Source organism: Homo sapiens, chromosome 8 (assembly GCF_000001405.40).
Source record: "Homo sapiens chromosome 8, GRCh38.p14 Primary Assembly".
NCBI classification, from domain to species: Eukaryota; Metazoa; Chordata; class Mammalia; order Primates; family Hominidae; genus Homo; species Homo sapiens.
Genome location: NC_000008.11, coordinates 39,280,854 through 39,293,085, shown reverse-complemented (window position 1 = coordinate 39,293,085; position 12,232 = coordinate 39,280,854). Strand labels below are relative to the sequence as shown.

General features: G+C 36.5%; 1 protein-coding gene across 13 annotated transcripts in view; it reads right to left on the bottom strand.

Annotated features, from left to right (window-relative positions):
* Window positions 1–8,168: 8,168 nt before the first annotated feature.
* The window catches only part of ADAM32 (ADAM metallopeptidase domain 32), a 177,389-nt gene continuing 173,325 nt past the window's right edge, over window positions 8,169–12,232 (bottom strand). For 11 of the 13 annotated variants that reach the window (NM_001313994.1, NM_145004.7, XM_006716298.4 and 8 more), the window contains 3 exon segments: window positions 8,169–8,293; window positions 9,462–9,500; window positions 11,912–11,950. In NM_001313994.1, the coding sequence (NP_001300923.1) occupies window positions 8,287–8,293; window positions 9,462–9,500; window positions 11,912–11,950 (85 nt within the window). In that variant the 3' untranslated portion in view covers window positions 8,169–8,286. 13 annotated transcript variants of the gene reach the window in all.

The following is a 12,232-nucleotide window of genomic DNA, read 5'->3' as shown; positions in this document are numbered from 1 at the left end:
TTCAAACATTCTAACTACAAAAAAATGATAAATATTTAAGGTGATGGACATGTTTTTTGTTTGTTTGTTTGTTTGTTAGTTTGTTTTTGAGACGGAGTCATGCACTGTCGCCCAGGCTGTAGTGCAGTGGTGCGATCTGGGCTCACTGCAAGCTCCGCCTCCCGGGTTCACGCCATTCTCCAGCCTCAGCCTGGTGATGGACATGTTAATTGGATTTATTTATTGCACATTGTATTCATGAGTCATAACATTACTCTGTATCCCATAAATATACACAATTATAAGTTGTCAGTTTACAGTTAAATACATAAATTCATAATCAGTGAACTTGAGACAGGTCAACAAAACTTATTCAAACTAAGCAGCAAAGGGAAAAAATAATGAAAAATAAAAAATAAAACAGAGCAAGACTTCAGAGACACATGAAACAATATTAAATGAGCAAGAAGTTGTATAATTTTAGTCACTTAAGGAGAATGAGGCAAAAGAAAGATTCTTAATGTCTGAGAATTTTCCATAATTGTGGAGAGACATTAAGCAACAGATCAAAGAAGTTAGGTAAACACAAAGAAGGATAAATTCAAAGAAAACCACATGTAAGCATATCATGATCAAATTTTCAGAAGCCACAGCAAAGGGAAACATCTTAAAAGCAACTGAAGAGGTGTGATGGAAGGTATATTACAATCCAACATACAAAAACATGAATAATAACTCATTCTAAGCAGAAATAATGAAACCAAGAAGAAATAAATATAAAGTGCCAAAGGAAAAAAATGCCAATCTAGAATTCTATGCACAATGGGGAGTGACAGGTGAGGGCACTGTAGTTGAGTGCTCACCTCTAGGAGGAAACATTTGAGTGGGACGTGAATTATGAGAGGAAGACAGGCATGACAGGAACTGGTGAAGAACATTCCACAGTGAAGAAACAGCAAGTGCAAAAGGCCTCAGATGGGCATAAAACTGGCTTGTTAAGGAGGCCAGTGTGGCTGGTTTTTATGGAACAGAAAGAAGACTAGGAGACAAGCAGGAGACAGACAGGCTGAGCCTTAGAGGCCATGGGAAGGCACAAGAGGAAGTAAGAAAGCAAAATAAAAATGATGTGAAATACTATCAATGAAAGGAATGTTGTCATTTGAGTGTCAGGTAGAGGATTTTCCTGAAAACGTGCAGATGTGGCCTTCCTGTCCTACATTTTCCCCTTCTAGAGGCACTTGTCTTAATCCATAAGGCCACAGGCAATAATAGGAAAAACATGGGTTTGAGTAAGTTGTTCTTTTTATAAACCTCTTATCTATCTTTAAAATAAAAGTGGTGCAAGATTGGATTACAAATCATAATAACTGTATCTTACCAAGAAGAAAGTAAATAAAATTTTTTCTAACAGAATAAAAGTGTGCAGAATTTGCCACCATCCAAAATACACTGCACAGAATACCAAAGAAAGTTATTCAGGGTGAGGAAAGTGATTCCAGATGGAAGCACAAAGCTACAAGAAGAAATCTACAACACCAGAAAGAATAAACATGGAGTAAATGTAAAAGACTATTTAAGCTTTTTCAAAGCACTACTGACTGTTTCAAGTAAAAATAATAGCAATATGTCAGAATTTATAACACACATACAATTAAATGTAATAATACAAAGGGTAGAAGGAAGTATTAGGAATCATACTGATACAAAATTCTTTTGTTGTTTGTTAAGTAGGATAATATTAATTCAAGGTAGACTTTGATACATTAAGAATCCATACTGTAATCTCTAGAGTAAACACCAAATATTATTAATAATGAGCTACAAAGCCCATAGAACAGAAAAAAATCAGATTAGCGCTCAATTAACCTGAAATAAGTACAGAAGGAAAAAGCAAAAGAACAAAAAAGATGAGAGAAATAGAAAAATAGAAACTGATAGACTTAAAATCAATAATATCAGAAATTAATTTAAATATAAATGCTAGGAATGATGTCAGCAAGATGGTTGGTGAAGTAAGAAGTCTTGAGCTCCACTACCCACTAGCCCCACAACAAAATTTAACCAGCAACATCCACAGATTGGAAAACCCCAACACCTGAAAACAAGCTGGAGACACCTGCATGATATGTAAAACTGAACAAAGTCTGAATTAGAAGGGTAAGAGGAACAGTCTCACTCTGACTATGCTCCCACCTCGCCCCCCAAATTGGCATAGCACCAGACAGAGAGGGTTTCCCTAACTGTCTCTGTTTCTACAGGAGAAAAATAGAATAGGAGGCAGACATCCAGCTTCTCTAGCATACCAAGACACTTCTCAAAACACCTACTTGGAACTTGCTTCAGAGAGAACACTAAAGGAAATGACATGACTTGAATGCATTGGAGTCAGTTAGAAAAAAAGAAAGCAACCAGCACATGGATCCTGGTGGTACCTCTGCATTCTTGCCAACTGCGGTGCTCCATTAGATATCAGCCAGTCCCATAGCACATGTGCCAAACTGAGTTAGTCACCTTTAGAGGCATGGAAGGAAGCACAGTCTAGCTTCAGCTCCTAGACTGGTTGTTTCCCTGCCCAGCCTCAGCACCCATCCCAATAGCCCCACGAAGGCAGAGAGACTGCCACTGCCATGGATCTCTGAAGCAAAAAGACTACACTGGCTTGGCCCAGGAAGGCAGGCAGTAGCTCCACACAGCCAAAAAGCCAGAGCAATTATCCCACCCAATCCAACAGACTCACACTTTTGCAGATCTCAGAAAAATAAAGAGATTACACCACTTTGACCTACGAAGGTAAGCAGTGGCTCCACACAGCCAAACAGCTTGCCCAATAACCACACCAAGGCAGGAAGACTCCCACCTCCAGTGACCTCAGGCAAGCAAAAGAGCTACACTGGCTTTAACCAGGAAGGCAAGCAGTGGCTTCACACAACCAAAAAGCCTACCCAAAGACCCTGCCTCGGCAGGGATATTTCCACCTCCGTGGTTCTCAGAGAAGCATAGAGGCTATAACAGCTTGACACAGGAAGGCATGCAGTGGTTCCACAAAGCCAAAAAGTCCTCCCAAAGACATCACCCATGCAGGGAGACTCCCACCTGTATGTATGCATTTGGAGAAATGTAGGAGCTAGTCCTGCTTGAGGTCAAACAGCCATTCAACTCAGCTAAAGGTTCATCCCACAGCTCCAGCCAAAGAGGGAAGCATATCCCCAATCACACATTGTTAGGGACCATAGCCTCAGATCCTTCCTCTCCAGAGCAGCAACACCACCTAACCTCAGAACACACCTGCAGCCCTGTTCAAATACAGATAGAAAATAGCAAAATTGCCCAGCCAGGGAAGACATCTTGTGACCAGCCTGATCAGAGGCCATCAGAGTACTTGGCCAGCAGCTCTGCCTAATAGCAGAGCGCAGCCAGTGGTCTCACCAGTCACTGGAGCTCAGATAGTAGCCACCTCTGATATTGGAGCAACAGCAGCAGCCCAGGCAACTTGAAAACCCACAACAAGTCTTACCTCTCTGGTGTCACCACCAGCTAGCCCTTTCAGAATCACAGACTAGTTAATTAGTGGAGCTCTATACCTGGCAAAGAACACACGTAAGGCCAGAAGATATGAATCTCTCCTCAAAGGTACAGACAACAATGTAAGGATAAGAGAAGTACAAAAAAATCATGGAATCATAACACCTTTAAAAGAAACTAATAAAGCTCCAGTGGCAAACCCCAAAGATATGGACAGCTATTAAATGAATGCCAATTCATAGTAACACTCATAAAGAAGTTCAGTGAACTACAGGAATATATAGAGAGAAAAATTAAATGAAATTTGGAAAACAGTAACATGGAAAACGCAAGACTGACAAATAAATAAAAACCAAAAAAAAGATAGAAATCCTAGAGATAGAGAATAGAAGCACTGAGCTGAAAAATTTAAAACAAATCTTTAATAGCAGAATTGATCAAGTAGAAGAAAGAATCAGTGAGATGGAAGGCAGAGCTTTTGAAATCATCCATTCAAATGAGCAAAAAGAATAAAGAAAGTATATGGACATATGGGACCAAGCTTTTGCACAATAGGAGTTGCAGAAAGAGAATAAAGAGAAAAGGGGCCAGAATGCATATATAAAGAAAAATGGCTGAAAACTTCCCTAATCTAGAGAAGATACCAGTACCCAGACGCAAGAAGCACAGACATCTCAATCAAATTCAAACCAAAGAGGAATTCATCAAGACATATAATAATTAAGCTATCAAAAATCAAAGATGAAGAAAAATTCTAGAACATCAAGAGATAAAAACCAGATTACATACAAAGAAGTTCCAATACAACTATCAGCAGATTTCTCAGCAGAAACAAGCCAGGAGAGAATTGAATAATATATTCAAAGTGCTGAAGAAAAAACCAAAATGTCAACTAATGCTTTATACTGCAAAGCTTTTCTTCAGAAATGAAGGTGAAAGATTTTCCCAGACAAAAAGAAGCTGAGGGTATGTATCACCACTAGATATGCCATACAGGAAACACATAGGGAGTTCTTCAAGTCAAAAGAAAAGGACACTAATAGTAACACAAAAACATATGAAAGTATAAAACTCACTGGTAAAATAAGTACACAGTCAAGTTCAGAATACTCTAATACTATAATGATGGATTGTAAATCACACTTATACATTTAGTATAGAAGTTAAAAGTCAAAACTATCAAAAATAATTATAATAATTTGTTAAGGGACATGCAATATAAAAAGATGTAAATTGTGACATCAGAAATTCAGAATGTAATGTAAGGGGGGTAGGGTTAAAATATACAGTCTTCATTTTATTTAGATCAAAGTTAAGTTGTTTTCAGCTTGAAATAACTTATTGTATCTCCAAGACTTTTTGTTCAGCCTCCTGGTAACCACAAAGTAAATACACAAAAAAATAAAAAGCATGAAATCAAAACATTCTCTTAGAGAAAATCATTCAATCACAAAGGAAGACTGTAAGAGAGGAAGGAAGGAAGGAACTATAAAACCATTTGAAAAAATTCACAAAATGGCAGTAGTAGGACCTTACCTTGAATGTAAATGGATTACATTCTCCAATTAAAGACACAGAATGGCTGAATAGATTAAAAAAGAAGATGCAAATATATGCTGCCTACAAGAGACTCACTTCACTGATAAGGACACAAACAACCGAAAGTGAAGGGATGGAGAAAGATATTCCACACAAATGGAAACCAAAAGAGAGAAGGGATAGCTATACTTAGATAAAATAGAACTGGAATTTAAAACCATAAAAAAGGACACACAGAAGGTCATTACAAAATAAAGGGGTCAATTCAGCAAGAGGATATACAATCACAAATATATAAGCACATAAAATTGGAGCACCAAAATATATAAAGCAAATATTAATTAATTTAAGGGGAGAAATTGACTGCAATACATTAATAGTAAAGGACAGATCATCCAAACAGAAAGTCAACAAAGAAACACTGAATTTAAACTGTAACTCTAGACCAACAGACCAGCTCTGGACCTAACACACATTTACAGAACATTCCCTCCAATAGCTGCAGAATACACATTCTTATCACCACATAAAACATTCTCCAGGTTAGATAATATATTAGGCCACAATACAAGTCTTAACAAATTTACAACTGAAATCATGTCAAGTAATGTTTTCTGACCATGATGGTGTAAAACTAGGAAAGTTTACAAATATATGCAAATTAATCAAAGTGCTCCTGAACAACCAATGAGTCAATGAAGAAGAGACACCTGCACTCCTATGTTTATTGAAACACTATTCAAGATAGCCAAGATGTAGAGTAAACCTAAGTGTTTATCAATGGATGGAAGGATAGAGAAAATGTCATATATATACATAATGGAATACTACTCAGCCATAAAAAAGAAATCTGTCATTTATGGCAAAACACAGAAACCTGGAAACCCATGGATGTGGAACCCGTAGATATGGAGGACCAATTGCATTTCCAAACAGCTAGATGAGAGGATTTTGAATGTTCTCACTGCAAATAAATGATAAATGTATAAGGAGATAAATATGCTAAATACACTCATTTTATTTTTTATGAAATGTCCATACGTATTGAAACATCACACTTATGTCATAAATATGTACAATTATTATGTGTCAATTAAAAACAAAAATAAACAGATATGAATGCTTTTAAGCACTCCAACTTAAAAACATTGTCAGACTGGATTTTTTAAAAAATACAAGAACCAACTGCATACTCTGTACATCAGATACACCTTAAATATAAGAAAATATGCAATGGAAGTAAAAGAATGAAAAAGATACCCCGTGCAAAGACTAACTTTAAAAAGCTGCCAATAAAAAAAAAAAAGCTGCACGGCAATACTACTATCACAAAATCAGAATTCAAAATTAAGAGTAGTACTAGAGACAACAACGAGAATTGCATAATGATAAATAGCCAATTCATTAGGAAAACATAATAGTCCTAAAGATGCATGCACTAAAATGTAACTCCAAAATACATGAAATACAATTAATGTGTGTAAAACAAGTTACATAACAACAATAATAAAAAACAATAGTTGGCACTTTCAACACATCTTTCTCAAGAATTGATAGAACAAGAGGAAAAAACAAGATTTCAAGAACACTGTCAACAAATGACTTAATTAACATTTATATACTCAGCAACAGCAAAATACACATGTACTTATTTAGTACACACAGAACATGCAACAAAATATATCATAGGCTAAACCAACTCAAGAAAATAATTTTAAAACATTGAGATTATATAAATATATTCTCTGGTCACCATTGAGAAAACAATAAGGAAAAAGTGAGCTAAAAAAATACCAATATTTGGATTTAAACAGGCTTCTACATAATCTATAACTCAAAAGAGAAATCAAAATAAAAATCTGAAAATGTTTTGACCTGAACTATAATGAGGACACAACATAAAATATGTGGAATGGAGCTAAAAATGTACATAGGACAAACTTATACCTTTAAATGCATTAGAAAAGAAGATTTAAAATCATTGATCTAAACTTTCACTTGAAGAAGGTAGAAGAAAAACAAATTAATAAAATGTGTAATCAATGAAGTAGAAAACAGAGATGTAATAGAGAAAAATAACAAAGTCAAGAGCGGTTCTGGAGAGATTCTTAAATTAATTAACTAGATAAACTCTTCACGAGACTGATGAGAGGAAAAAAAAACCTTATTATTACAAGGAATGAAAGAGGGGACATAACTATAGATCCTATAGACATAAAAAAGAATATTATGAACAACATTAGGCCACAAGTCTAATCATTAAATAAAATGGATAAACTTTTTTTAAAAATACAGTGCCTGAAAAAACCTATCACAAGAATAAATGGAAAATTTGAATAGTTCTCTATTTAATAAATTGAATCTGTAATTTAAAATCATCCCCCCGCCAAAAAAAAAAAAAAAAAAAAAAAAAAAAAAAACTCCAGTCCCAGAGAACTTCACTGGTGAATTTTGACAAACATTTAACTGAAAATCTAAACAAGTTTTTCAGATTATTTCAGAAAATGGAAAATGAGAGAACCTTTCTCTAATTCATTTTATCAAGCCTCATACCAAACTCTAACAAGGGTTTAATATTTGCCTTTAAGACCCATGCCTAAGGGTCCTTCAGAAGCTGCCTCTCTGTCTTCTGGGCTTGACCCTGTGGGTCACTTGGCCAAGGGACAAGAGAAAGGTGAGGGGTAGAAGGAAAGGCCTGGATGGGAAGTTACAACCCCTGAAACAAACAGTCCTCCCTCAGAAACCCAGGCTGGGGTCATGGGGAGTATGAGGAGGGCAAATATCTGGATATATTGGACCTCTGTGCAGCCAGCCAAATCCCATGAGAAGGACCAGAAGGAGGAACACAGTACACTGCCCAGATCCTGTCATGGGTAAGATTGAATAGGTGCTGTAGCTGGGGCCCCAGGCAGTACATCAGAGGGGGTGGCATGGGGCAGGGGGCACAGGGGCAGGAGTCATGGAAGAGCTGCAGAGAAGACAATGAGAAGAGCTCATGAGGAGTCAGGTGGGAACGGGGACAGCTGAGATGAGTTTGGAAGACTGTTTTCAATTAAGGGCCCTGCACCTGCAAAACTGTAGTCCCCGGGGGTAAAGGAAAGAGAAGAAAAAAAACGAACACGCTGGCATGCAAATTGATCCACACTCAATTTATTGTTTCTTTCAGCTGTGACCACGGAAGGAAAGACAGAATTTTCATTTCTTAGCGAGACTCTCGATGTTATCCGTTGCCTTCTGAAGGAATCACTAGTTACTGTGGAAGAGAACAAAAAAACACGTGCTCAAAGTACTGACAGCAAATTCCCTCCCACTGTACAAGCAGCTGAGGTATTGCCAAGTGGAAAATTCATGTGGCACGAAAAAAAGAATTATTGAAAGGATGTTTACAATTTTGCCTGTGAAATTATTTAACCATGAGCCACTTATTTACTTTATGCTTTTCTTTGATTTCTGAGGAACCATCATATTTAATCAGAAGTACTTGCAAATGAAAAAATTAAAATTTTTTCATATAAAATGAAATGTTTATGAATTTAACAATTAAGTTAATGTCTTTACATGTTTTAGAAATTTAAGTTCACATTAATTTTCCTTTTTTCATACCTTGCAGCCAATTACTCCGTGTGTGTGTGTATGTGTGTGTACGTGTGTGTGTGTGTGTGTGTGTACGTGTGTGTGTGTGTGTATAACAGTATTTTGGCCTTTTGATCTTTGAAAATTCATAGACCTGAAGCATTATAGCCTATGCTGCCTAATGAATAAAATGGTCCTGATTACAGATTTGTTTTATAAACAAATTTACAGATCTTACATCTTGTAGGTACAACTCTTTAATTCTATTCTATCAACAAGAGCAAGTTCTCAATAAACTTAAGAGAACTTTACTAAACTGAAAAAAAACAGACTAAGTTATTTAAATACTCATTAGTAACAAGATTAATAAAGATTGGTCATTTGAAGCTAGGTCATTTAGGCTGGACATGATGGCTCACGCCTGTAATCCCAGCACTTTGGGAGGCTGAGGGGGGCAGATCACCTGAGGTTAGGAGTTCAAGACCAGCCTAGCCAACATGGCAAAATCCTGTCTGTACTAAAAATACAAAAATTAGGCGGGCATGGCGGCACACGCCTGTAATCCCAGCTACTCAGGAGGCTGAGGCAGGAGAATCGCTTGAACGCGGGAGGCTGAGGTTGCAGTGAGCTGAGATCGCACCATTGCACTCCAGCCTGGTCGACAGAGCAAGACTCTGTCTTAAAAAAAAAAAAAAAAAAAAGAATAAAAGAAAGATAGGTTATTTATTGGTGCAGTACTTTACCAATTCATCTACCCAGTCCATACTTAGGAATTAATAGTGGATTATGAGTTTTATTTTAATTTTATACATGTATTTATTTTAAGAAACACCTTCTAATATACTTACCTACTGCTTTGTGTTTGGGTACTGTCCTGTGATTTGGATCTAAGGAAATAAGGAAATAACATTTTTAGGCTGATATAATACAACCTGTCAAACTTATGTTGTATTTATTTGTTATGGCAATTTCTTCCTCTTTCCGTTCAAAGTTGTACTAAAAAAGAAATATTTGCCAAATTTCTACCTCTTTTCCATTTTTTTTTTTTTTTTTTTTTTTTTAGAGATGGAGTTTCACTTTGCCACTCAGGTTAGAGGGCAGTAATATGACTGTGGCCCACCACAGCCTCAACCTCCTGGGGGCTCAAATGTCCTCCTGCCTCAGCCTCCCAAATATCTAAGGCTACAAGCATACACCAACATGCCCAGCCAAATTTTTATATTTCTTTGTAGAAATGGGATTTCACTTTGCTGCCCAGGCTTGTCTTGAACTCCTGACCTCAAGCAGTCCTCCCACCTTGGCTTCCCAAAATGCTGGGATTACAGCATTTTGTAATGTGAGCCACCACACCCAGTCTTTTCCATTTTTATATACACAGATTCCTTATTTCTAATCCCCTAACTAAAAGAATGGGGGAGAAAAAGAATGAACTGAAGACAAATTAATCAAGATTAATTCACAGAGAAGATAATACAATATAAGTGAGAGTATTCAGTGATAATGCACAATTTTACTTCTTTCGTCCTTTCCCTACCTTTGCTATTTTATATCTTCAAAACTTACTGTTGATTTTTCCTACTACTCTGACCATGAAACATTCTTATTTAATATAATTAGTTATCTCCCAAACCAATAAAAAGATCTGTATTTATAGACATATGAGTCTACTGAAATGTACACCCATTAGATTTCTGGCTTAAAAAAATATATTGTTTCATTATGTTTACCCAAGGAATTGGCTCTACCAACATCTCCCACTGGCTTCCCAACGGCAACAAAAATACTAAAAATATAAATGTAAAAGGAACAGAAATACAAGAAAATACAGTAAATGCTCTAACAGTAAAGGACAGCAACTATGTCTGCTTAGCTTACTAAGTTTAAGTGAAAGAATAATCACCAAATACCTTTCTGGGTATGCTAAACACAAAGTTAGAATAATGGGTTAACATTCCAAATTATACTCCCCAAATCCAGTGTATATTACCCTATAGATGATGCCCTTGTCTATCCCTCAATCTAGTTGAATTTATTACTTTTAAAAAGGATGATTATGATATGATTATGGCATATTTTATGAGGAGAGATAATGTAAGGGGACAATTAGAGTAGTTACACCACTAAGAATTATATGTGCATATGTGAACTTCAAGAGAAACCACTCATTCGTTAAGCAAGTATTTATTGAGCATTAACCCTGCAAGATGCTACCTATAAATAGGTAGGGAAAATAAACATGGACTTGACCCTCAAGTGATTTCAGAGCCTAAAAGGAGAGTAATGCTTCTAGGTGAGCAGAAGATTGGGAGAATTGCAGTGTTTGAGCACTCTATCACAACTCCCTTGGTGACAGTGACGGAGAGTGGAGACAACAAAGAAAATCAGCTTTTTTCTCAAACATAGCTTAGAGAAAGTAACTGATGACTGTAAAAGGGTGCTTATGTTAGGAGACATCCAAGAACAACAGAAAGGATAAAGGAGACAGAAATACTGTAGCTTTCCTAATGGATGGGGTGCCTTCATTGGGGAAAATACAAACCATATAATGTTTTGGTGTAGCCTAGAAAATTTAATCTGTGTGTATAAAGGATATTTTGGAATAGCAGTGGGTTGAATGTAACTCAAAGAGGTCACTTTAAGGAAAAATACTAGGCAATATAAGAAAATGAAAACTCTACAATGGAGAAACCATGACGAACATAGCAGTAAATATTTGATAACTTCAGAAGGATCACAAAGCCACAACTGTGGGGTGTAGGAAACCAAAAGCTTCTCTAAACGAGTTCAGAGAACCCTTGTTAACATAGGTGTGGGACATTGAGGATCTGTGGGAAATGTAGAATTTTAGTGTGTTTATAATACTGTCTCCTAAACTCTTCCTAAGTGGAAATAATCATTCGCTCAGTTGTTCACATTGAGTTTTTGGGGGTGTAAATGCAACCTGAAAAAGTACTATTTCCCCTTTGTGTATCCCAGAATAAAGGATGCAAAATGTTCAGCTTATGATTTAGTTTCACAAAGTAATCATAAATATTTGTCTCTTATTAAATTTCACTAGCTTATTTCTTATGTACCACAAGAGTAGGCAATCAACAAAAATTTAGTCAACTGAAGAAAAAAGATTAATGGAATTAATTAATGCTTGTAGAATGGGAAATATTAATAAGTTGGGTTTGGTGTAGACTTTATCGATTGTGGCTGCTCAAAAAATGTTGAGCAATTATTTGTGAATTATCAACTTTTTCATTCTGAATTTTCAACATACTTATTTATAAGTAACACTTTCTATCCTGCTTACCTGCTAGTATATGCTTCAGCACTATCTTCTGATTTGGATCTAAAAATAAATTAAAAACAATATATATTAAATATCTATTATTAAAAATAAATTGGCCAGGCGCGGTGGCTCATGCCTGTAATCCCAGCACTTTGGGAGGCTGAGGCGAGTGGATCACAAGGTCAGGAGATCGAGACCATCCTGGCTAATACGATGAAACCCCGTCTCTACTAAAAATACAAAAAATTAGCCAGGTGTGGTGGCGGGCGCCTGTAGTCCCAGCTACTCGGGAGACTGAGGCAGGAGAATGGAGTGAACCCAGGAGGCAGAGCTTGCAGTGAG